Here is a 27,866-nt window from a genome sequence, read left to right as displayed (position 1 = left end):
TTGAGGAAGCCATGAGATTCCAGGCACTATATTAAGTTTAAAGGCTTCCAAATGTTCAACTTCTAATGAATGATTCACTTCACCTCAATGCCTCTGTTTTAGCAAAAAGCACCTGTTCTTTAAAACAGATTTACCTCTTCAGCTGAGATAGAAATTCTAAGATAGAATAATTTAAGAGCTAGAAAGGGCCAAATAACAGTTTTCATCAGGGAAATAAAACAATGTCCATTCTCTGGATTGGATACAACCCAAGAAAAGCCATTACCCAGCAGTGACATATGAAATATCTGCTTTGATTTCATGTGGGAGATTATTTAGCAATGTCAAGACAAAACATGCCAATTCCTGGCAGTTGTCAAAATGCCATTCCTAGTGTAACCCTGACAAAAAAAAATCCACTCCCTCTGCAAATGTCACCAAGCTTCTGATGGAAAATGGATATATTTGCCAGTTTGGGAGAATAAAGAAAAGACTGGAAGGAAGAAAAAGTTTCCCTTTAGGAGGAAACTAGAAGGAAAAGGAGGGAGGAAGGAAGAAAGGGAAGGAGAAAAAAAAGGGAGAGAAGCAGGGAAGGAGGAAGGGTGACCTTTTAGTCTACCCTTCAGATTTATGCTAAAAGTTTGCCAGGTCAGAAAACAGGCTTTGGAATTAAGGGAGATATGAGACCAACGTCAGGCCCTGCCACTTAAGAGTTACCTACACTTGGTAACTTCACCTTCATTTGTCTCAGTGTCTTCACTGGAAAAATGAAAAATAATAGTACAATTAATAATGGTTAAAAGAAGCAACCTGGCCAGGCACGGTGGCTCACGCCTGTAATCCCAGCACTTTGGAAGTCTGAGGCGGGTGGATCACCTGAGGTCAGGAGTTCAAGACAGCCTGGCCAACGTGGCGAAACCCTGTCTCTATTAAAAATACAAAAATTAGCTGGGCATGGTGGCGTGCACCTGTAATGCCAGCTGTTAGGGAGGTGGAGGCAGGAGAATCACTTGAACCCAGGAGGCAGAGATTGCAGTGAGCCAACATTGCTCCATTGCACTCCAGCCTGGACGACAAGAGCAAAACTCCATTTCAAAAACAAAAATGAAGTAACCCATGTGCAGTGCTGAGCCTGGTGCCAATCTGTAGAGAGCACAATACATAAGATCTGGTATTATAGGCCTACGGAAACAATGTATCCTGGTGCTCCATGGAAAACATTTTCTTTATTTAAATTCATCGACTTAAAAACACCTAGACAGAAATTATGAATAGGCTATGCCTCTTTATTTCATAGGCAGAATGGCAAGTTTTGAATAAAAGTATGCTCTTGTTTGACACATGGAAAATAGGAAAAGGCATCTGAAGAATCTTCACATTATCAAGCCTGAACCTTCGCAGAACACTAGAGGTCCCTCTTGGCACTGAATCCTCCAGCCCCGATGATGCAGAATTCAGAGTGACAATTTTCTGCCTCAGCCCCACTAGATGTCTCTTCAATAAAGTTCTAATACAGTTAGTGCCCTGGCATTGATTCGATGCCTGGGAACCATTACATAGAAAGAACATAGTTTTAAATAATCAAACCATTTTCCTAAATGTGCATACATTCTAGAAGCCACCCTCCACTGCCACACACATAATTCAAACTGAAGATGTCTTTTGTTTTCCAGAACCATTGCCTGATATTAAGATGATATCAGGGAAAGGGAGCAAAGGTGACAAGGAAGTTGTTTCGATTAATTGGGAACCATAGATCGTACTTGGAAGCCATGGGGGAGATGCCCTCCACGAAATTAAAAATGAAGTTACTCTCTCAGAGTTAAATCACCAAATCAATGGGAGTGCTAGCAATGTGGCTTTAATGGCCCAGGTTCCAGTAAGCAGAAAAGTCAGACTTCTGTCTTCTACATAGCCAACTTCCTCAAAACACGAAAGAAGAGAATGCCTTTCTGAAGGAAGGCAATTTCTTCTAGTTGCATCTAATCAAAACTTTATTGTGTTTCTATTGCCTGCTGTTTTCCTAAGAAACGTTGAATTACTGGGATGATACCTGATTCTCACCAGCTACCAGAACCACCTCCTTAGTTTTCAGGGAGTGTTTTTTGACACAAACCACTTCAACAGCATTGCAGCAGCTAGTTTAAAAGGCAATATTTTGTCTTGTGTTTAATAAGCTTAAAAACTCACAAGCCCACCTAGCATTTCTAACCAGCATTTATCCATTTGTCTGAATGGATCGAAGATTGCCTCATGGGCATAATAACTGACTTTAGGCATAATGGTTGTGATGCCTGGCACAGTGGGGTATTCTGTTAGGGGAGCGAGAGAGCTGTGGACAGGGAAATCACGTAGCTTGGGAAGCCTCAAACTACAAAGATATAGTAGCAGGTATGGGCAAGGCACAGAGAAGCTGAAAGTGGGGTGCATGCGAGACCACAACATAGGCTGGTATTGTGTTTAAGAAATTTCAATGTAAATGTCTTTAGGCAGGGGATTCACCCGAGTTAGCCACCATTTCCACCATATTCCATTGCTTCCTATTGTCTTAGGCCTGGGGTAATTTGATAACCTCGAACATCTGGCCCCTTTGGCCTGAGTCAGAGCTGTTTTTTCAGGGAGGGTTTGCTAGAAAGTAAATGATTGGGACAATTAGAGAGATTAGAATAAGATCTATAGATTTAGATAACACTATCATAACAAGTCTAATTTACTAATTTTGATCATTGTACTGTGATTATGTAAGAAAATAGTTATTTTTAGGAAATTAACTCAAGTATATGAGAGCAAAGGCATAAAGATAAAAATAACTACAGATGACAATGTCTCATTCCAGATCTGCCATATAAGGATTTCTAGAAGTGAGGCCCTGAAACCTGCATTTACCATGATCCCCAGGGAATTCCCGTGCACCTTCAAGACTGAGAGGCCCGGATCTGTAACACCTGCTGAAGAATGACACCCATTTACGAGATAAAGAAAACACTGTTCTTTGCTGCTCCCCTGGTTACCCTCAAAAGCCAGAAAGAAGGGAGGATGAAGAGAAAGTCAGCCTCTGCAGACATAGCTGTCATTTGTAACTGCTGCTGTTTCCCAGTCAGCTTAAATGGAAAATGGACTGCTCTTACACCAACGTCACTTAAGTCCATCACGGCAGTACTCCAGGTCCTCCTTTCCCATGTATTGCCTGAGTGGGGCACATTGCCCCCTGACAGACACAGGATGCTGCCCCCAGGCCAACACTTAGAGCTAGAACAGCGACGCTCATCACAGAGCTAGAATTGCAAGCTCAGTCAGGTACAGGGAGTGTTGTGCCTGATTGCAAAAAACTGACTCAGCCTTTCAGTAAAAGTGCCTTAGGGAATGGAACTAGATTGTCCTGTGACAAACCAATGAACACATCTGCTTGTCTCAAAATATGTGAAGCAGAACCAAGCTTCCAGTGCTGAACACAGGACTGCTCTAGTCACCAGGCAGCATCCTTTCCCAAAGAAGGTTTCATAGAACACTAGCCTAGTAGATGATCTTGGCAAAAAGGAACCCATAACTAAGTAAGTTCTGGAAACGCTGTATTTTGTTTCTCCCCTCTTGGAAACTGAAGATGCACATTAACATATTAAGTGCTCTGAAAAGTCACGCACTGAAGAAAAAACCAGTATGACTCTTGTTTAGCTCAGTATTTCCTGAATATGTTCTTTGATGAGACTCCTTTTTCATTGAGTGCCTATTAATATTTTCTAGAATAAGGTTTTAAAGAAAAAAACTGAGGAAACGTTATAGAGGAGAATTTATATTCAAAGGGGAAGTCATTTAGTTCCATAAATGGAACGTTAATTGGAGAAAGATTGGCAGTTGTGAAGCACATCTAAAAGTATTGGCAGAGCCTCTGAAGGACTTGGGAAATGGACTTCCATTCCCTGCCAGGAAACTTCCTTAGGAATAAAGGGACTCCTTTGGTCCTGATCAGAAAGGGAGCAGTATTCCTTGTCTGCATTAGAGTGGAATATTGGGATGATTAGCTACCAGAAGAGTCCTCTTTGATCTTTCCCACTCCTTCAACCCCGTATCCATTCCACCGGAAATCCTACCCTACGTCCTCAATCTCAATCTCCCACTTCCAGTGCTGCAACCTCAGCTCACTGCAGCCTTGACTTTCTGGGCTCAAGCGATCCTCCCACCCCAGCCTCCCAACCATCTGGGACCACAGGGAGGTGCAATCACGCCTGGCTAATTTTTGTATTTGTAGTAGACACAGGGTTTCTCCATGTTGCCCAGGCTGGTCTCTAACTCCTGGGCTCAAGCAACCCACCTGCCTTCGCCTCCCAAAGTGCTGGGATTATAGGCATGAGCCACTGTACCCAGCCTCAATCTCCCACTTCTTACACATCCACTGCTGCAATAGTCTACTCACTGGTTTCCCTACTTTCACTTTTATTCTCCTGCTATGGTCTGAATATTTGTGTCCCACAAAAATTCATATGTTGAAATTCTAACCCTTAAGGTGATAGTATTAGGATAGTATTGGGGCCTTTGGGAGGTGATGAGGTAGTGAGAGTGGCACCCTCATGATTGGGATTAGTGCCCTTATAAAAGAGGCCCCAAAGAGAGCCCTGAGGTTGCAGCGAGAAGGCCACATCTATGAACCATAAAGCCAGCCCTCACCAGACACCGAATTTGCCAGTGCCTTGATCTTGGACTTCACAGCCTCCAGAACTGTAAGAAATAAATGTTGTCTATAAGCCAGCCAGTCTGTGGTATTTTGTTATAACTGCCTAAACAGACTGACACAACATCTAGTGTATTGTCCATACTGCAGCAAGGTGATCTTAGCACTTAGAATCTGATAAAAATCACACTGCTTAAAAACTTCCAAAACCTGTCCCTTGCCATGGAGAAAACACAAAGATAACATAGGCCTGGCCTGGCATTTCCCTTCAAACTCATCTTCACTAATCTTCCACTCATCTGCATGTTCCAGCCACACTCCTCTTCTCCTGGATTCTCTTTACCTGGAATTCTCCTTCCCATCTCGATTTTGCCTATTTGCCCTTCAATATAGATCACGGTGATCTATGATGGTCATAGTGATCACAGATTCATCACAGAACACTATGCAAAAATCATTTCCTCCAGGAAGACTTTCTTGATTCAACAGTCTAGGTTGGAGCAGCTCAAAGTGCAATCCATACTTCGGTGCCAATCTACAAATTGTTTCCAATGTGATAAATATTAAAATTAAGAAATAAGCATTTAGAAAGTTCTACAGTGTTTTAAAATTACCATGACATCCAAGCACATGGTCAGTAGACTCCCCTTGTTGAACAGGGCAAAGAGCAATTCAGGTGTTGTCAAAATCACGTGGTCAGTCACATGTAGCACAATTTGTATGCTAGTATCAGTCCAGGGCAGATTGAAGGGAAAAGTGGTCTTTCAGCACACATAGTTAGAGATGCACTGGTCTAGGTCACTTTGTCATGTTATATAGTCACAGCACCATGTACCTTCTTTCCAAAGCATCTATCACAGTTGGTAATTTTATGTATTTTTTGCGAACTTTTTTCTTATTGTCTTTCTCCTACACAAGACTCCTAGCTTCCTGACAGCAAGAACCAACCAGGCTTGTTGCTGCTCAATGTCAAATCTTTCTAGTCCAGCTGAATACCTGGGACACAGTTGGTGCTTAAACAATGTGACTAATAAATAAGTGGAAAACGTATACCTAGTGAGCCTTGTCATCAATTTTAATACTGTATCACCTCAACACCATTCTTAGCACTTACTGAGTTACCTGTGGCTTATATGTGAGGATAAGGGTGAGCAATGAGAGAGAGATGAGAGAATAATTATTTCATTTTATGAACTCAACCAGACCCTTTCAGATCACATTTCAATGGCATAATAGGTATAAAATGAGTAGTGAACAATGATGTTTTAAGGGTACAAAGGAATGCTTTGTCTTTGGTAACCCATATCTGTGACCTATTGTCACACATCTTGGGTATTTCGTTTTGTTTGATGTTTATATTTGACTCTAATTAAGCAACATCATAAAATTTCATTGCCCTCCCAGCAACAGAGCTCATGCCAGCTTTCGGTGATGTTGTGTTTCCTCACCCAGCTCTATCCTCCCTGCCTTTGTTCACAGCTGTTTTGCTGATAAAATGGAGAGAAAGAGAGCTGGTATTCAGCTGACAGCTTGCTTCTGGCAGCTGCTGGACCTCAGAGCATAATTTCCTCCCTAGTGGGTTATCAGAATCAAACACCCTCGACTAATCAGAATTTCAAAGAAAGCAGATATCCAGTTGAATTTAAGAAGATTATTCCAAAAGAGCTCTGAGTAGGACATTGGACTTTTGGCACCCTAACTATTTGCTCAAACAGGCATCAGAGTCAGCTGGAGTCTTGAACTTTTTCCAGGAAAGAGAAGAAATTTTAATATAGTGAAAAGAGCAATGGATGGTGGTAGCAAGTCTTAGCCCTGCTCTGGGAAAGGTACCTAATCTCCGTGGTTTGATTTCCTCATACGTTGAAAAGGGGGATTGGACCAGATGACCTCTTGATCTCTTCTAGCTCTGAAATTATGGAAATGAATGATTCAGTTCCTAGACAGAGGTTTCAAGAATGCTAAGGAGCTGAGTATCTGTTCCCAGATGGCAAAGTTGGCAAAGTTTATATAGGACTTAAAGGTCTTTCTATTTACTACTCATTCAGTTTAATCCTTCTTCTGAAAGACAGTACAGTATTTACCTCTTGCCTAATATTGTGAACATGAATTTGTTTATACAATCTCATGACTCTGAGATCTAACTCTAATTCCATAAATAGAACTATAAATACTAATGGTATTCCCAAAAACATCATGCTTGGTGAAAATGTTCTAGGATCAAATACGTTTCTTTCTTTCTTTCTTTTTTTTTTTTTTTTTTTTTTTGAGATGGAGTTTCGCTCTTGTTGCCGAGGCTGGAGTGTAATTGTGTGAACTCAGCTCACTGCAACCTCTGCCTCCCGGGTTCAAGCAATTCTCCTGCCTCAGCCCACTGAGTAGCTGGGATTACAGGCATGTGCTGCCACACCCGGCTAATTTTGTATTTTTAGTAGAGACGGGGTTTCTCCATGTTAGTCAGGCTGGTCTTGAACTCCCAACCTCAGGTAATCCGCCCACCTCGGCCTCCCAAAGCACTGGGATTACAGGAGTGAGCCACTGCGCCCAGCTGGATCAAATACGTTTCTGAAATGCTGTACTCAATATCCTCTCCTTAATGTTTCACATGGCAGAAGGGTGCATTAAAGCCTAGAAAGTCATGCGCTAAAGAAAGCCCACTTAAGTTTGCTTGCCCTAGAATTTCTCAGCGTTGAAGTCTTTTTTTTCCTCTGGAACACTTGTTTTCATTTTTATTTTTTAATTTTTATTTATTTATTTATTTATTTATTTATTATTATACTTTAAGTTCTAGGGTACATGTGCACAACATGCAGGTTTGTTACATAGCTATACATGTGCCATGTTGGTTTGCTGCACCCATCAACTCATCATTTACATTAGGTATTTCTCCTTATGCTATCCCTCTCCCAGCCCCCCACCCCTCAACAGGCCCTGATGTGTGATGTTCCCCTTCCTGTGTCCAAGTGTTCTCATTGTTCAATTCCCACCTATGAGTGAGAACATGCGGTGTTTGGTTTTTTGTCCTTGCGATAGTTTGCTGAGAATGATGGTTTCCAGCTTCATCCATGTCCCTGCAAAGGACACAAACTCATCCTTTTTTATGGCTGCATAGTATTCCATGGTATATATGTGCCACATTTTCTTAATCCAGTCTATCATTGATGGACATTTAGGTTGGTTCCAAGTCTTTGCTATTGTGAATAGTGCCGCAATAAACATACGTGTGCATGTGTCTTTATAGTAGAATGATTTATAATCCTTCGGGTATATACCCAGTAATGGGATTGCTGAGTCAAATGGTATTTTCTAGTTCTAGATCCTTGAGGAGTCGCCACACTGTCTTCCACAATGGTTGAACTAATTTATGCTCCCACCAACAGTATAAAAGTGTTCCTATTCTTCCACATCCTCTCCTGCATCTGTTGTTTCCTGACTTTTTAATGATCGCCATTCTAACTGGTTTGAGATGGTATCTCATTGTGGTTTTGATTTGCATTTCTCTGATGGTCAGTGATGATGAGCATTTTTTCATGTGTCTGTTGGCTGCATAAATGTCTTCTTTTGAGAAGTGTCTGTTCATATCCTTCGCCCACTTGTTGATGGGGTTGTTTCTTTTCTTGAAAATTTGTAGAAGTTCTTTGTAGATTCTGGATATTAGCCCTTTGTCAGATGGGTAGATAGCAAAAATGTTCTCCCATTCTGTAGGTTGCCTGTTCACTCTGATGGTAACTTCTTTTGCTGTGCAGAAGCTCTTTAGTTTAATTAGATCCCATTTGTCAATTTTGGCTTTTGTTGCCATTGCTTTTGGTGTTTTAGTCATGAAGCCCTTGCCCATGCCTATGTCCTGAATGGTATTGCCTAGGTTTTCTTCTAGGTTTTAGGTTTAACATTTAAGTCTTTAATCCATCTTGAATTAATTTTTGTATAAGATGTAAGGAAGGGATCCAGTTTCAGCTTTCTACTTATGACTAGCCAGTTTTCCCAGCACCATTTATTAAATAGGGAATCCTTTCCCCATTTCTTGTTTTTGTCAGGTTTGTCAAAGATCAGATGGTTGTAGTTGTGTGGCGTTATTTCTGAGGCCTCTGTTCTGTTCCATTGGTCTATATATCTGTTTTGGTACCACTGCCATGCTCTCTTGGTTACTGCAGACTTGTAATATAGTTTGAAGTCAGGTAGCGTGATGCCTCCAGCTTTGTTCTTTTTGCTTAGGATTGTCTTGGTAATGCGGGCTCTTTTTTGGTTCCATATGAACTTTAGTTTTTCCAATTCTGTAGAGAAAGTCATTGGTAGCTTGATGGGGATGACATTGAATCTATAAATTACCTTGGGCAGTATGGCCATTTTCACGATATTGATTCTTCCTATCCTTGAGCATGGAATGTTCTTCCATTTGTTTGCATCCTCTTTTATTTCATTGAGCAGTGGTTTGTAGTTCTCCTTGAAGAGGTTCTTCACATCCCTTGTAAGTGGGATTCCTAGGTATTTTATTCTCTTTGAAGCAATTGTGAATGGGAGTTCACTCATGATTTGGCTCTCTGTTTGTCTGTTATTGGTGTATAGGAATGCTTGTGATTTTTGCACATTGATTTTGTAACCTGAGACTTTGCTGAAGTTGCTTATCAGGTTAAGGAGATTTGGGGCTGAGACAATGGGGTTTTCTAAATATACAATCACGTCATCTGCAAACACGGACAATTTGACTTCCTCTTTTCCTAATTGAATACTCTTTATTTCTTTCTCTTGCCTGATTGCCCTGGCCAGAACTTCCAACACTATGTTGAATAGGAGTGGTGAGAGAGGGTGTTCTTGTCTGGTGCCGGTTTTCAAAGGGAATGCTTCCAGTTTTTGCCCATTCAGTATGATATTGGCTGTGGGTTTGTCATAACTTGCTCTTATTATTTTGAGATATGTTCCATCAATACCTAGTTTATTGAGAGTTTTTAGCATGAAGGGCTGTTGAATTTTGTCAAAGGCCTTTTCTGCATCTATTGAGATAATCATGTGGTTTTTGTCTTTCGTTCTGTTTATATGCTGGATTACATTTATTGATTTGTGTATGTTGAACCAGCCTTGCATCCCAGGGACGAAGCCCACTTGATCATGATGGATAAGCTTTTTGATGTGCTGCTGGATTTGGTTTGCCAGTATTCTATTGAGGATTTTCACATTGATGTTCATCAGGGATATTGATCTAAAATTCTCTTTTTTGTTGTGTGTCTGCCAGGCTTTGGTATCAAGATGTTGCTGGCCTCATACAATTAGTTAGGGAGGATTCTCTCTTTTTCTACTCATTGGAATAGTTTCAGAAGGAATGGCACCAGATCCTGTTTGTACCTCAGGTAGAATTCGGCTGTGAATCCTTCTGGTCCTGGACTTTTTTTGGTTCGTAGGATATTAATTATTGCCTCAATTTCAGAACCTGTTATTAGTATATTCAGAGATTCAACTTCTTCCTGGTTTAGTCTTAGGAGGGTGTATGTATCCAGGAATTTATCCATTTTTTTCTAGATTTTCTGGTTTATTTGCACAGAGGTGTTTATAGTATTCTCTGATGGTAGTTTGTATTTCTGTGGGATCAGTGGTGATATCCCCTTTATCATTTTTTATTGAGTCTATTTGATTCTTCTCTCTTTCTTCTTTATTAGTCTTGCTAGTGGTCTATCAATTGTGTTGATCTTTCAGAAAAAAGAGCTCCTGGATTCACTGAATTTTTGGAGGTTTTTTGGTGTCTCTATCTCCTTCAGTTCTGCTCTGATCTTAGTTATTTCTTGTCTTCTGCTAGCTTTTGAATGTGTTTGCTCTTGCTTCTCTAGTTCTTTTAATTGTGATATTAGGGTGTCAATTTTAGATCTTTCCTGCTTTCTCTTGCGGGCATTTAGTGCTATAAATTTCCCTCTACACACTGCTTTAAATGTGTCCCAGAGATTCTGGTACGTTGTGTCTTTGTTCTCATTGGTTTCAAAGAATATCTTCATTTCTGCCTTCATTTCGTTATTTACCCAGTAGTCATTCAGGAGTAGGTTGTTCAGTTTCCATGTAGTTGTGTGGTTTTGAGTTAGTTTCTTAATCCTGAGTTCTAGTTTGAGATGGCACTGTGGTCTGAGAGACAGTTTGTTGTGACTTCTGTTCTTTTACCTTTGCCGAGGACTGCTTTACTTCCAATTATGTGGTCAATTTTAGAATAAGTGCAATGTGCTGAGAAGAATGTATATTCTGTTGATTTGGGGTGGAGAGATCTGTAGATGTCTATTAAGTCTGCTTGGTTCAGAGCTGAGTTCAAGTCCTGGATATCCTTGTTAAACTTCTGTCTCATTGATCTAATATTGACTGTTGGGTGTTAAAGTCTCCCATTATTATTTGTGGGAGTCTAAGTCTCTTTGTAGGTCTCTAAGGACTTGCTTTATGAATCTAGGTGCTCCTGTATTGGGTGCATATATATTTAGGATAGTTAGTTCTTGTTGAATTGACCCCTTTACCATTATGTAATGACCTTCATTGTCTCTTTTGATCTTTGTTGGTTTAAAGTCTGTTTTATCAGAGACTAGGATTGCAACCCCTGCTTCTTTTTTTTTTTTCTTTCCATTTGCTTGGTAGATCTTCCTCCATCCCTTTATTTTCAGCCTATGTGTGTCTCTGCATGTGAGATGGGTCTCCTGAAAACAGCAAACTGATGGTTCTTGACTCTTTATCCAATTTGCCAGTCTGTGTCTTTTAATTGGGGCATTTAGCCCATTTATATTTAAGGTTAATATGGTTATGTGTGAATTCAATCCTGACATTATGATGTTAGTTGGTTATTTTGCTCGTTATTTGAAGCAGTTTCTTCATAGCATTGGTGGTCTTTACAATTTGGCATGTTTTTGCAGTGGCTGGTACCGGTCGTTCATTTCCATATTTAGTGCTTCCTCCAGGAGCTCTTGTAAGGCAGGGCAGGTGGTGACAAAGTCTCTCCACATTTGCTTGTCTGTAAAGGATTTTATTTTTCCTTTGCTTATGAAGCTTAGTTTGGCTGGATATGAAATTCTGGGTTGAAAATTCTTTTCTTTAAGAATGTTGAATATTGGCCCCCACTCTCTTCTGGCTGGTAGGGCTTCTGCTGAGAGAACCGCTGTTAGTCTGATGGGCTTCCCTTTGTGGGTAACCTGACATTTCTCTCTGGCTGCTGGAACATTTATTAACACTTACTAAGCTAGGATTCCACTGAACAAACTTGGAAAATGGTGCTGTAAGAGGGATCTGTGCACCCACGAGCATCCTCCACTTGGTAGAGGCCAGGAAGTTCTTTCAAAAGGCCAATACTCCAGTCCACCCCAGACTTCCTGAATCAGAATCTTGGGAGGTGGAGTCCAGAAATATTAGCTTTAACAAGCCTTCCAGACAATGGTATGCTGGAGCTGGGAGGTATCAACTCTCCAGAACAGATTGTTATTAAAATTCCAGCAATTTTAGAACTTCGTGAGCTATTTGACTTCACATTGGTAGACTGAAATTTGCTGTGGTAGAAGTATTTACACCATGAAAATTGGCAGATGCTACAATTCAGGGCTTTTCTGTTCTCCCCCAGACAGCTAGTTATTAGACATTTATCCATAAACCACTGCCTCCAGGTCATCCTTACATACATTAAAATTTGAGACCCACTGATAATGCAAGTATGTGCTATTTCCAGAAGGAATTATGTCAAAACTGTTAAAATTTAATCCCTAGTTTTACCATGTTTTTAGATATTCCTAAAAAAGATGTGCAGAAAAAAAATCTTACATTTTCTTTTCAAAATTAAGTAGAAATTATCTAGGAATATCTAGAAATAATCAAGTAAGCAGAACCTCATTATGAAGAAGCAATTTTTTTGTCTTTACAGACTTTGGTTGTTGTTTGGGTTTGTTTTTTACAATGTATTTTTTATTTTTTATTTTAGGTGCAGGCATTTAATCATAAAATTAATATTTTGTGCTTTGGCAGTTAAAAATTATATATTTAAGGTGTGTGTAACTTGATGATTTGATATACATATACATTGTGAAATAATCACCACAATCAAGCTAATTAACGTATCTATCACCTCACATAGTTGCCATGTTTTGTGTGTTGTGTGATCAGAACATTTTAGACCTCTGTCTCAGCAAATTTCAAGTGCACAATAGTATTCTTCACTAAATTTACAGTGCTATATATTAGATCTTCAGAACTTATATTTTGTATAACTGACTTGATACCCCTTGATCAAAATCTCCCCATTCTACCCCACCCCACCCCAGCCCCTGGCAACCACCATTCCACTCCCTGATCCTACAAGTTTGAGTGTTTTAGATAGGTGAGATCTCAAGTATTTTTTCTTCTGAGTCTGGCTTATTTCATTTAGCTTAATGTCCTCCAGCTTCATCCATGTTGTCTCAATGGCAGGATTTCCCACTTTTTTAAGGTCAAATAATATTTATTTATATATATCACATTTTCTTTATTTTACAGGCTTTCTAAATTGAGATATGTACAGGTCTTGCTGACAGATATAGCTTTCTTGCTCACAGATATAGCTTTACTGTGGTCTATTCTTTCATAATCTGGAAAAAAAATCTAGAAGTATAAAAATATTCTCGCCAGGCGTGGTGGCTCACACCTGTAATCCCAGCACTTTGGGAGGCTGAGGTGGGCAGATCACGAGGTTAGGAGATCGAGACCATCCTGGTTAACACAGTGAAACGCTGTCTCTACTAAAAAAAATACAAAAATTAGCCAGGCGTGGTGGCAGGCACCTGTAGTCCCAGCTACTCGGGAGGCTGAGGCAGGAGAATGACGTGAACCCAGAAGGCGGAGCTTGTAGTGAGCTGAGATTGTGCCACTGCACTCCAGCCTGGGCGACAGACCAAGACTCCTTCTCAGCAAAAAATAAAATAAAAATAAAAAAATAAAAATTTTCTCAGATTGTTGTCACTTTTTAAAAAAACTTATATACTCCTCTTCGCCACCACCTTTCATTGAAAAGAAACACATCTCACACCTGTTCAGATTTTAGCTGGGCTCTTTTGTCCCACTGGTGCTTTAGGGGTATTGATATAGTACATTATTTCTTTCTTAAAGGGGATGCCTTGGACTGATCCAATTAGAGTCCTGATCTCACATTTGATAGCAAACACAGAGCCCAGAATGATCTTTTCTTTATTTCTCTGGTTCAAGAAAAGTACAGAATCCAATGACAGAAGCAGAAAATAGATTGTGAGATGGAAGAGTCTGAGTTTCCACTTAACATTTGTCCTTCTGTTCCCTCTGAAGGTGGACAACATGAAAGTGACTGCTGGACTAAAAATGGTTTTGCTTGAACAGCTTAACTGACATAAACATACGCCACTGAGAGTCATATCCCAGGTCACTAGAACCTTGACCCACCACCAAGATGTATTTAATTTTTGTGAATCCAGCAGTTAATTCTGACAGCCAAATGCTACCAGGTTGTTTATCTCTCTTGTAAAATGCCATATGTTATATGCTTAGAGGCAAGCATCTCATGTCTCCATTTTAAAATTAACAAGTTAATTTTTATAGCCCAAATCTTAAGAATTTGAGCATCAGATGCCTTTAAAAATTTGGTATATTTTTATGTCATACTTTTAAATTATTTCCATCTAATAGTGTTTGCTCCATAAACAAAATATGTCACTTATAACTTTATATTTTTGTAAGTTTTTATGTAAGTTAAAGAAAATTAAATATCTTGTATTACATACTAAATTAGAAAAATAAAACCTATTGTTATATAGTTGAACATTGAGTTATTTAAAATTAACATCAAAATACAGTATCTGAATGTTTTTACAAAAAATTCTTATCATTTACACAAAATAATAATTTCTTTTAATTTTTAAGGAGATTTGAAAAGAGTTTAGAATTTGAAAACATTTTGCTAATTCAGCCTTCAAGTAAATTCATGTAACATGGAATATACACACTTAAAAGCTGGCTACACCTAAATAAAATTCCAAAGAAATCTTTCCGAAATGATAGAGTCGCTGACCCATAATAGGGAAATGTTTGGGGTCATTGAAACCTTTATCAAATTGTTTTAATCTAACTTCATGATTACCTACTTGCCCAGCAATGTAGATTATTGTGTTTTGCAGGATGTTAACATTGAAGTTTGAACTGAGGTACCCACCCTTACAAATATAGGATGTCAAAATGAATACAACATACTGCATATGTACAAGATTTACAAAGAATTATCGAACTTAGCTTATGATGTTTAGATGCTCAGCCAGATTAAGGATATACAAAGGTGAAGGGTTTAAAAGAATTTTTAGAGAGTTATTGCCATACTATGAATGTCTGTTTCCACCCCTATCCTTAAGGCTCCACCTTGAGCTTAACAGGCCTGTGGACAGGTCATCTGTACTTCTACAGCGAGGGCAAGGGATACATGAATGGTTCCCTTGGACAGAGCGGGCCTTGAGAGAAATCCAATGGAGGTCAACCTAGGACTTCCCAAAGGGCTAGAAGGAATCTATCAACAAGAAGCTGGAAGGGAAAATTGGATGTCTACTCATTCCAGAAAGAGTTGGAAATGACCATACAAATTCTCAAGGAGAGGTCAGCAATATTTCTCTGGAAAGGGTCAGATAGTAAATATTTCAGGCTTTGAGGGCTGTACCGCCTTTGTAGCAACTACTCAACTGTTTGGTTATTGCACAAAAGCAGCCATAAGCAATGTGTAAACAAATGGATGTGTCTATGTGCAGGTAAAACTATTGACAAAAACAGGTGGCAGGTTGGATGGAGCCTACAGGCCATACTTTATCAACCCTGCTATAGATGCATCAGCTTGAGACAAAGGAGGAGGAGGTGAGCAGAGCAGAGCCCAGCTATGGAAAAGCCCATGAAGGTCAAGTTCACTTCAACATCCTGCCAGGTCTGCAGCATGTTCACACGACAGCCTTCCCCATTCCTCATTCCTCTTCCCTCCCTGGCACACCTATCCTGGAGACATTAGAAGCTGGCCAGCGAGCTGGTTTGAGACAGGAGGAAAAGCCAGAGAAAGAGAAATAAAGAAGCAGCAGCCACCAACCCTGCACCCTTTCTCCCCAGCAAGCTTCCAGCCTGGGGAAGACAGCCAAGAGAGGAGCGAATATTTGACATTAACTCCAATTCAGAGATCCTGGACTGAACACTCTTAATTTCTGAATGGAGACAATTTCCAACTTAAAGTGACCAGAGATAGAACTGTTTATTCCCTAAGAATCAGTAGAAAAGTCACAGGACAGAGGAAGGGAAAAGGAAAGCTATATTTTTATTTTTATTTACTTATTTTTCACCCTGTCTTATGATGCTGAGCTATATTTTTATTAAATCACACTTGCTTTTTCTAAATACTGGTTACATACACAAGCCCAGAGTCAAACATTTTCTTACCCTATCTGAAGACTCCAGCAGTAACAGAGAAACAAATAACGATGACATCCACCTCAGCCACGTCTGGCAAACTTGACACAAGCGGCTCACCAAGAAGGCAACCCAGCAGTTAATGTTACTGACCCATTTGTCATATCCAGTTTCTCCAACTGTCCATAACAGGTATTTAATTATAGAGGATGATTGGGGATTCATTTGTCCTTCAGGAAATTTCACGACTAAGGTATGTCTTTCTTCCAGTAACATGCACACACTCACACAGACTCATTTAATTCTCAAACCTAACATGATTAGGTTGGTCTAGGAAAGGCCTCTCTGAGAAGGTGAATTAAAGTTGATCTGGACGATGAGAGACAGTCACGCAGAGATCAACAAGGAGTACATTCCAGAGAGGGGAAAATGTTCATGCAAAGGACCTATGGTAGGAACAAATGTCAGGGAGCAGAAAGAAGCTTGGTGTGTCTGAAGCCTGTGCATGATGTGAGGATGATAAGAGGTATGTACAGAGAGGCAGGTGAGGGTCATGTGCTGAGGGCTTTTCAAGAAAGGACTTTGCTGCATTTGGATTTTATTCTAAGTTTGACAAAAAGACAGATGATGGGGGGCATTAAATCAGGAGAATAACATAAACATGACCTGACCTACATTTTTAATATTGTGTTCTGGCTTCTTTAGGAAGAATGAATTGTTAGGAGATAATAATGGAAAATCAATACAGAAACCATTAGAGTCCTCTCGGCAAGAGATGGTGGTGTACTTGCCTTAGGATAGTAGTAAAGATGAAGAAAAGTGGAAGAATTCGGGGCAGACTTTGAAATAGAATTGGCAGGACATGCTGAGAGATGGATGTGGGAATAAGGGAATAGAGGGAATGAGAATAATGTCTAGATTTGTGGCTTGAGCAACTGGGTGGTGGTGTGAGGCCACTTACTGAAATGGAGTCTGCTGAATAGAAACAGATGGGGAGGTTGGTAAAGAATAAAGATTGTCCTTAATCGTGTTAGGTTTGAGATACCATTTGGACACCCAAGTGGAGATATCAGGTAGGCAGATAGACTTGGGCAAGTCAGTGCTGGAAAGCAATATTTGGGGTTATCAACATAAAAATGCTACTTGATGCCATAAGAATAAATGAGGTCATCAAGGGAGAGAAGAACAGAAAGAAAAGTGAAGAAAAAAATCCCAAGTCATAAGCCCTGGGATATTCCATTGTTCAGAATAATAAGAAGAAAGAGGATCCATCAAACTAGTCTGCAAAAAAGCAGCCTGAGAGGTGGAAAATAAACCAAGCAAGTGTAGTGCCACAAAAGCCAGAAGACCAAAGTGTTCTGTAAAGAAAGGAATAGCCAACTGCACCTAATGCTGTAGAGATGCCAGGAAAGGGGAGGAAGTGATGTGACTGTAATCAGCAGCCTAGAGGTCATCGGTGGGCAATTCAAGAACAGTCTCAATGGAGGTGGGATCACAAGTTCAGTAAAATGGGGATGAAGTCATTAACTACAGAAAAGCAACTTAAGACATATCACCAAGACAAGTAGCAGAGTAATAAGGAAGTAGCTATTAATAAAAAAAAATTTATCAGCCAAGTATGAAATGCAAGGCATTGTACTAAGTGCAATTGGAGAATAGGAGAGAAACACTTTACATTCCATGCTCTATAGAGCTCAAAAAGTATGGCAAGGCATTGGAAGACTAATCATGGTGACATGTATTTATTAGCTATTGCCATACTAACACTATATAACAAATAGTCCCCACAATACAATACACAATAAGGATTAATCTCAAACACAATAAGGATTGATTTTTGCTTGTAAGTCAGCTGGAAGGTTCTGCTGATTGGAGTCTGGCTCAGGGAGTAGGAGCTGGGCTTGTTCAAGTGTCTGTACTCAGGGCCTTTCTCGGTGCCAGAACCTTGGTGAGTGCAAAAGTTGCTTGTCCATGAGTATGGCTCTACCCACCAAATTGGAAGAACACGATCTGCCAATGAAGAGAATGAGGCTAGCATATAAAGAGGGATGAAGATAATTATTAAGGAGTCTTAACTATACCTTTGAGCTTGAATCCAAATATGCCTGAAGTCTTCCATCCTGCGCTTCCCAGTAACGGAAACTAAAAACCTCCCATTGTGTTTAATATAGTCTTAATTGGACTCTGCCACTTGCAATCCAAAGAGTTCTGACCAATACATCCAAGTTAATTTTGGACCTTTAAAAAAATAAATATCCATTGATGATTTAATCAAAGAGAGATTATTTTAAGGGGGAATTTAGGAAGATTCATTTTCACAAACTGGTTAGGAGAGATAATAAACTGCTGAGATGAAGTCCAGCTGGCAAGAATTTCATAATTTAGTTCCTGAGGATAAAAGGAAGGAAAATCCCATTTTCCTGTACCACAGCTGATATTCAGTTGGTTCACATAGGTATAGCCATGCTGGTTATTTAATGCCAGCATCCATTCTGATAAGTGGTATCCACATCTTCTGATTATTAGGTATCTTGATTATCACTGCTGTCCATATCTATGCTGCAATATATGTTCAACAAAGTGAAGCTGCTTAGGAATATTTTAGAATTCTGTTTTCTCTCTACCTATGATGTGTAACCTCAATTTCTTTCACCTTGGATATCAAGATGCAACAGAATAAATTTGTCTGCAGCCTGGATGAACTTGCTCCCCACGAGAGGGACTGACTTTACTCATCCTTCTCTTTTAACCCAGTCATGCTGAAATTATCAGAGAGAGCCAGGCAGAATGAAAATGGCAGTAACATCCAGACTCTCCTAGACATTGACCGGAAGTTGACCTCTGGCCACAGATGCCAGAAGCAGGCAGGCAAGGAAGGGACCAAGGAGAAGCCATCAAGAAAATGAAGGTACGATAAACTGTGAAAATTGCGTTGGCAATGCATGAGTTACCACTGAGTCAACCTATATTTCCAACAAAATCCTGGAGAATAAGCCTGCAGAATACACAGACTAAAAAGATGGCGGCTCCCCACCCCAAAACACCTTCCCTACCCACCAGCCTCTGCTCAAAATACCACCACACAAACTTGATTTTTTAATCTAAGGAAAGAATCAAGCAGATGAACTATGATTGAAGCTTATTTTGTAATAGCAATGATTCAAAAACAAACTCTATGTCCAAACTTAGTCAGCTTTCCCTGACTGGCTAAATAAATTATGATGTGCCCATACAATGGTGAGGCAGGAGAATAGGGTCTGGAGGCAGAGAACCTAAGATCGATTCACATTGACTTCTTAGGACTAAATCAAAAGGAAAACCCCAACTTTCCACAACTAAGAAACAAAAGTGTGGAAGCCTACTTCCTTTGCAAACCCTCCACCCACTTTTTCTGCCTGGCAGATGGAAAATTGAACATATCTCTGATTGGTTGCAGAAAGCATAGGAGTGTAACTTTTGTAACTTTACTTCAGCCTCTGATGGGTTGCTTTCCACAACCATTCAGACACTTGCATAGAATGTAACCTTTGTAACTTCACGTCAGCCTCTGATTGTGGGACCCACTTCATTTACCTAGGGTGTACACAAAGGAACCAGTGGGAAACCTCTAGAGGGTATTTAAACCCCAGACAATTCTGGAACCAGGCTTTTGAGCCCCTATGCTCGGCCAGCACCCACCCTGTGGAGTATACATTCATTTTCAATAAATCTTTGCTTTTGTTGCTTCATTCTTTCCTTGCTTTGTTTGTGTGTTTTGTCCAATTCTTTGTTCAAGATGCCAAGAACCTGGACACCCTCCACCAGTAACAATGGAATACTGTAATTCCATTGAGCCCAGACAGTGTCACGTGCCACCCCTACCTGCATGGGATCCTGGGGAGGCTAATAGGTTTAGTTGAGAATATTACCATCTTGAACAAAGTCAGAGTTCTCATCAGAAAGAAGTAGAAATGACAACTTGCTGCATCTGCCACGCAACTTCAATATCCTGCAATATGAGATTGTTTGAGAAACGAATGTACAACCACATGATGGAATTCTCTACAGATGTCTAATGCTAGAGAAAGAATAAAGGGGAAAATTGTGTGGTAAATGTTTTAGACATTTTAAATGAAAAAAGCATTTTCATTTAAAAAATGAAAAAGTTGAAAAAATGTAAATAATATGATCACGTGTGTGTATATGTTTGCGCGTGGATGGGTGCGTGTGTATCTCCTAGTACATGCATAGAAAATCTGTGGAAGAGGCTGGGCGCGGTAGCTGATGCCTGTAACCCCAGCACTTTGGGAGGCCGAGGCAGGCAGATCACGAGGTCAGGAGATCGAGACCATCCTGGCTAACACTGTGAAACCCCGCCTCTACTAAAAATACAAAAAAATTAGCCGGGCATGGTAGCACGCACCTGTAGTCCCAGCTACTCGGGAGGCTGAGGCAGGAGAATCGCTTGAACCCAGGAAGCAGAGGTTGCAGTGAGCTGAGATTGCACCACCGTACTCAAGCCTGGGCTACAGAGCGAAATTCCATCTCAAAACAAACAAACAAACAATTACAAAAATTAGCCAGGAGTGGTGGTGGGTGCCTATAATCCCAGCTACTCAGGAGGCTTAGGCAGGAGAATCGCTTGAATCCAGGAGGCGGAGGTTGCAGTGAGCCGAGATCCTGCCACTGCGCTCCAGCCTGGCCACAGAGCAAGACTCCATCTCAGAAAAAAAAAAAAGAAAGAAAGAAAAGAAAATCTGTAGAAGAATACGTAAGAAAGCACTATTGGTAGTTATTTCTGGAAGATAAGACTGAGAAGGAACATGACATTTACTTTTCACTTCAATCCATAGTATTTCTCTTGTCATTAGAATCAGAGAATTTATTGGTATAAAAATACCCAGGACTCCTACCGTGGTAATTTGAAAATTTGTTTCCAGATAGTCTAAATATAAAACACTCTGGAAAAAGCTGCCTCAATCCTGTCCCCTGGGACCCTCAGCAAGGGGCCTGTTAACCACGATTCCACTTCAGCAAAGAAGCCCCACCAGAAGGAAAAAACCACGCACCAGCCAGGACTCTACGGGAGAGAGAAGCCCACCAAAGGCTTTAGAGGATAACATCGCAGTTGTTCTCCATGTTACTTTTTTCTCCAAGGTAAGGAATACACTCCTAAATGTTCCTAAACTCATTTTGCTAATCTGATTTATCATAATAACCCTCAATAAAAGTCCTCCTTTGTATTTAAGTTAAAACTCTTTATGTAACCTATAATTTTAGTTCTATCAGGCTCACAGAAAGTTGGTCACCATCCTCCCTATTGTAATTAAACACTCAAATGCCTCCTAACGACTAAAGAAATTAAACCTATATATCTAGGACCCAGGAGCCAAAACCGTAACAGCTCAGACAAAAGCTTGAGTTTTTTTAAGTTTGTATTTTATATTAACAATTTTTTAGCATTTTACACTCTACTCCATGATATAGCTATAACTGATTCCCACTAAAATAATTTCTTCCTCTCCCCTCTCTTCTGGAATATTTGAATAAATTGATATTCCAGGAAGATGTGTCTTGTTTTCGCAAAGGCCACCCCCAACAACATATTCCCTCAGATTATGCTTTCATATGACCTCATCCCTCAGGCTTTTCTACTTTTAAGTCAACCATTTCTAATTCTCTTAACCCATAGACATAGGTCCCAATTTTTCAATTCTTCAAATTTCCCCATCATTTTCCTCCAAAGCCTATTCCACTTATCACTAACGCTCAAATAATGTGCTCTAAAATTCACTGCAGTGCTCCAATGAGATGCTGTTGGAAAGGGTCTCAATTTATGCTCCCATTTTCTCTCCCCTCATATTTGTACACCCACTGTTTATTTGTACCTCTGTACTTCCTGGAAGGAAGAACACATTTAATAATCAAGCCAACTAGTATTGCTGAGGCTTTCTACTAAAAACTTGTAGATCATTGCATAGAGCACAGCAGGACTGATTAGTATGCCAGGGTGAAGACATTGAAAAAATAAACTAGAAAAGTCCAAGGGAAGTTGTGATAGACTGTGTGAAGTTTAGAATAGAAAATGGGTTCATAAATTAAGGAGAGACGTGGGAAATTTTGCAAATATATGCATAAAGTGAACAGCCAAACGGTGAGTTTCACCCAGTGTAACACCCAGCATCTGTCCCAATTTGAAGCCCTTACCTTTAAGCAGGCCGGCCTGCCCAGCAGTTCACATAGCCTCAGCGAGAGGGCATGCCAAGAAGTCTGCTTTGTTCCCCGGCCAATGCTGGACCTTCCTGCCGAGACATGCCTCACACTCATATTTCCCAGCCTGTTCTAATGACGCCAGCTCTCAACTTCTCAGCTGCTGTCTCTGACTTTGCTCCTCTGTCCAATGCCTGATATTATTGTATCTCTGGGATTAAGCCTTGGTTCCCTGAAATTGCATTCACCACAAACTACATGTGCTTTTAGCTGCTCCAGAGAACATCCTAGCATAATCTGGCACATCCTCTGGACAAAACCCTGGTTGGACCTAGCCAATAAGACAGAAGTTACTGCTGGGATAATCCCAGTTGCTGAAGAGGAAAACTATGTTTATCTATGCATACTAATATGACTGAAAAAATATTTTCTTTATTAATCTATGGAGAAAAATGTCCCTAACACAGTCTGGGACAAAAATCACTTTACAAGGTTCTTTACAACCTTCTTCTGGGGGAAAAAAAAAATTACCATTCCTGAATAGAAATGCTGAAGCAATTTTATGATAAACTTTAATTAGATTAAGATCCCTTTTGAGAACTTACTTCCCATATCTCCGGCTGCGTGTTTGTCAGGAACCTGATGGTATTGAAAGAGATGTAGCATTTATTATATTCAGTGAACACAGATTATCTAATCATATCTAACCATTCTCTTTTTCTACAAAATGTCCTTACCCAAAGTAAATCTTTGGGTTTTGTTGTTGTTTGTTTTGTTTTTGAGAGAGGGTCTCACTCTGTCACCCAGGCTAGAGGGCAGTGGTACAATCATGGCTTGGCTCACTGCAGCCTCAACCTCCTGGGGCTCAGGTGATCCTCCCACCTCAGCCTCCCGAGTAGCTGGGACCATAGATGCACACCATCACACCTGGCTAATTTTTTTTTTTTTTTAATAGAAACAGGGTTTTGCTATGTTACCCAGGATGGTCTCGAACTCCTGGACTCAAGTGATCCACCCGCCTCAGCTCAGCCTCCCATATTGCTGGGATTACAGGCATGAGCCACCATGCACAGCCAATAGTAAATCTTTGGATTGTCCTGCAAGATCTGTTTGCTCTCAGCAAGTGTGAAATAAAATTTTGCCACTATGGGCTCTTTACAAATTTAAACAAATTATTTAAAGTTTTTTTTCAGGGATGGGGATCTCACTGTGTTGCCCAGGCTAGATTCAAACTCTGGGCTTAAGAGATCCTCCTGCCTCAGCCTCCTGAATACCTGGGACTACAAGCATATGCCATCACACCCAGCTCCCCAGAAAATTGCTTTTTATCAATGTGTTGAGTCTTTATAAAAACAGGTTTTGGTCACTGCTGAAGTTTACATTAGCCAATTTGTCTTGACTGTGCTTTAGACTGCTTTACACAGCCATTTGTTGCTTTGTTCAAAAACATCCAATTTCGTTTTGATAATACATTAGAATATCTGCTGTCCTTTTAGAGCTGTTTAAGATGTTGCTAGATTATTTGGAATGATTCAGTGTTGTGCTTAAAAATGTTGCCTGTTTACAGCTCTCTCATCTTAACTCTTGCTCACCTAGAGTGTAGTTTGGCAACTGATATAATTCACTTGCTTCTCCCAGAAAAATCCTTTTACATATTTTTTTTCTTTCTGGCATTACTTAGATCCTGATTTCTGGGCATATTCCAAAACAACATCTTTTTTTGAAGAAAGGAACAATATTTTCTTTTATCAACTAACGTATATGCATGCTCATTCATTATTAGTTCAAATCTTTATTACTATCCACTATAGGCAAAGTATTCTTTACATTTCCTTTCCTCCAGAAATATGCATTAGCAGTGGCATAGGTAAAAGAAAAAGAGAAAAGCTCAGTGATACAACAAATCTAGAACCACCTCATGTATCAGAAATATGGTGCACTTATACTCACACCAGATGATATTGAAGCAAGTGTTTAAATACTGAAAAGGAATTTATAAATGTACTGAAATCTCTCAAAGAAGCACTTAACAGACATTACATTGTACAACCCACAGTAGTTGTCCTAAAGATCTTTTCTTCATAGTCCCACTTTTCAGAACTTCTGCTTCCATCAAATCTCTTTTCCTCCCATCCCAGTGCCAGCAAGGATTTTGAATTTTCTTTCTCTCGCCCAACTCCCTTTCTTAGTCTAACATCCCAAGTAAATGTGTTATTTTAAGCATAGCTCTAGTCCCTTTCTAGCCATTCGAGGTTTTGTTGAGCCTCTGTAGCTCTATTATTCTGGTCATTATAAGTCCAGGCCTGGAGGCTGTTCCCCAATCAAGTGCCCCCTGCTTTATTAGGGGGCCAAGGAAAGGCAGTAAAGCCTTTTTTTTTTTTTTTTTTTTGAGACAGTCTCGCTCTGTGACCCAGGCTGCAGTACAGTGGCATGACCTCAGCTCACTACAACCTCTGCCTCCAGGGCTCAAGTGATTCTTGTGCCTCAGTCTCCCAAGGAGCTGGGATTACAGGCATGCGCCACCATGCCCAGCTAATTTTTATATTTTTCATAAAGACAGGGTTTCGCCATGTCAGCCAGGCACGTCTCAAACTCCCAACCTCAAGTGATCAACCCGCCTCAGCCTCCCAAAATGCTGGGATTACAGGCGTGAGCCACTGCACCCAGCCGGTAGTAAAACTGTTGATACTCATGTCATAATAACTCCACCTCCAGTATAGCTGTCACACTAGGCAACTTGGAATAAGGGCCACATAAAGCTGCAACGTACCAAGGGCATCTAGAATAGTGAGCACCCATTTCTATTTGCGAGGATTAGCCAAGTTTCACGGGCCAACAGGTGGAAGTCAGCTCAAAGCTGATGCCTCCATCATCTAGAGCAAGTCCAACCTGACTAATGGCTAGATGTTTAAGACAGGAACTTGCCATACTAGACCTCCCTTTCTGATACTCTGATACAAAGCCATTCTATCTGCATTCCTCTCCTTTCTGTTCCTCAAAAAGTCCAAGCCCTTTCCTGCCTCAGGGCCTTTGCACATTCTGCCTACTCTGTCTGAAATGCTCTTTCCTGTCTCTTCTCATGCCTCATTCCTCAGGCCTCAACTTATATGTAACTTCCTCAGAAACCTTCCTTGACCACCAACAACTGAGTTATCATCTCTCACTTCACCTGAAGATTGTACTGCCTACAATCTTCAACCTCTAATTGTCTCGTGTATTTACTTAAATAAAATTAGGCTGCAGTTCCATGGGGTCTGGGACCTATCTGTCTTATTCACACTATATCCCCAATCTTATGACACAGGAGGAATTCAGCCTATGTCTGTTGGTAGATTAAATGAATGAATCCCTGCATTCAGATCAAAATATCCAAGGGGAAGGGGCGTGGTGGGGATCCTCAGAAATGCATTTCAGCATCTTCCATCCTGTTGGAAATCCATTTTACATCCAACAGAATTCCTGTACAAGAAAAAAAGAAAAGAAAAGGCTCTTCTTGTGTGTACAAGTGTCCTTTCAGCACTAATTTTAGAAATTCTCATGATACAGTGCAAACATTTTAATCCCTGAACAAGCAGGTGGATGTAATTGGCCTGAACTCATGTTTCAGTGTGCAACCCATGAATTGGTAAGATCTTGCTTGCTAGTGGTGAGAACTCAAATTCTGGTGAAGCAATACTCCGTTGACATATCTCAGAAAGCTTACTCCCTTGTGACCTTCTCTTTGCACTGATTTATGGGAGCTATAAAACAAATGCCTGGTGTTGAGAAATAAAATTTTAAAAAAATTCAGTCTAGATTTTGAAAATGAATTGCCCCAATGAAAACACAAACACAAAATAATGTTGCCAAAATATGACACAAAAATTATTCCAGTAGCTCTTGGATCATCTCAAGGATATGGTCTTATATTCTGAAAACTGTCATTCTTGACACATCTGTCAAATGGAAATGGTGAAGAAAGTCAAAGACAAGGGCGTCCTCTAAAAAGCACTGCCATTTAAGAAATTTTTTATGATCAGAGTTCAAAGCAAGGAAACTTCAATGAAGTACTACAGTTCATCTGGCTATGCCAAGATATGCTCCAGTTTGCAGAGAGAAGGGTATATCTTAGGGATAGAAAGAGGCCTGATCTTGCCTTACACTTGGCCATCAGGGACAAGAAGAAATCTGCTAGAACTTTGTCTCTGGCATGAATGCCTTTGGACTTAACCTGAACCATTCTGATCTTTCAAGTTGCGTCTTCTACCACTTCCCAGCATATACCGTAAGTTCACACCATATTGAAATCCTCACACTTACTAATACATGTCCTGCTCCTTTACATCTCTAGGCCTCTGTATACAGCCTTTCCTCTATCTGGAATATACATCCCTGGGAGGTGATTGGATCATGAGGACAGTTTCTCACGGTTTAACACCATCCCCCTTGGTGCTGTCATGACAACAGTTAGTCATCCCAAGATCTGATCATTTAAAAGTGTGTAGCACCTGACCATCTTTCTCTTCCTCCTGCTCCCACCATGTGACATGCCGGCTTCTGCTTCACCTTCCCCCATGATTTAAGTTTCCTAAGGCTCCCCAGAAGCCTCAGGGGAGGCTTCTTAGGAAACCTTAGGAAACCACTATGCTTCCTAAACGGGCTGCAGCACCATGAGCCAATTAAACCTAATTTCTGTATAAATTACCCAGTCTCAGGTATTTCTTTATAGCAATGCTAGAACAGACTAACACAGCCTCTGCATAGAGCCTTTCCTCTATCTGTAATGTACTTCCATTTCCTTTCCTTTTCTATCAAGAAAAAAACTACTCATTCCCCCAGGAATCTGCCCAGGTACAACTTCATTGGTGAAGCCTTTCTTTTTTTTTTTTTTTTTTTTTTTAGATGGAGTCTAGCACTGTCGCCGGGGCTGGAGTGCAATGGCACGATCTCGACTCACTGCAACCTTTGCATCCCAGGTTCAAGCTATTCTCCTGCCTCAGCCTCCCAAGTAGCTAAGATTACAGGTGCCCGCTACCACACCCAGCTATTTTTTTGTATTTTTAGTAGAGACAGGGGTTTCACTATGTTGGCCAGGCCGGTCTCGAACTCCTGACCTTGTGATCTGCCCGCCTCAGCCTCCCAAAGTACTGGGATTACAGGCATGAGCCACCGCACCCAGCCAGTGAAGCCTTTTCAAATTTTCCAGGAAATTGGTGGCTTCTTCCCCTATGTTCCTATTGCCCTTTGGGAAAAGCTTGGTTATAGCACTTAGGATTTACATTTTAATGATTTTTTCTGTGTCTTTCTTTTCAGCCAGGCTGTGAGTTCTCTGAGGCAGCCAACTTGATTCATCTTTGTATCTTTACAGCATGATAGCTTAACAAATGCCGAATGGCTGGCTAAAGAATCAGAATTGAGACTTCAGCTGTTTGACTCCAGCTGCTAACCTCTAGACTGTTAAGGTAAAGGAAATTGAGTGTAATATATTGTAACATGCTGGAGATTTTTCCATTTACAGCATTCTAAAAGGTTTTTTACAAAAATTTGTAAGGAATTTTATATACCAAAGGAAACATCAATGATCTCCTGTCTTCCATTAAATATGGACAGACTGTAAATCAAAATTTTCTTCCTTTCAAGGGTATTTGAGCTTATACTCTATAAACAGAATTCAGAATCCTCC

General features: G+C 40.3%; 1 long non-coding RNA gene across 2 annotated transcripts in view; it reads right to left on the bottom strand.

The window, feature by feature from the left end:
• LOC105369812 (uncharacterized) overlaps positions 1 to 22,700 on the bottom strand; it is an 86,311-nt gene extending 63,611 nt beyond the window's left edge. For both annotated transcript variants that reach the window (XR_001749186.2, XR_945043.3), the window contains exon 1: positions 22,202 to 22,700. This is a non-coding gene — a long non-coding RNA (uncharacterized LOC105369812). The remainder of the gene's footprint in view (positions 1 to 22,201) is intronic.
• Between the last annotated feature and the right edge of the window lie 5,166 nt (positions 22,701 to 27,866).

The sequence above is a fragment of the Homo sapiens genome, chromosome 12 (assembly GCF_000001405.40).
Source record: "Homo sapiens chromosome 12, GRCh38.p14 Primary Assembly".
Taxonomy (NCBI): domain Eukaryota; kingdom Metazoa; phylum Chordata; class Mammalia; order Primates; family Hominidae; genus Homo; species Homo sapiens.
The sequence above is the reverse complement of the archived record's forward strand: the minus strand, read 5'-3'. Positions and strand labels throughout refer to the sequence as shown.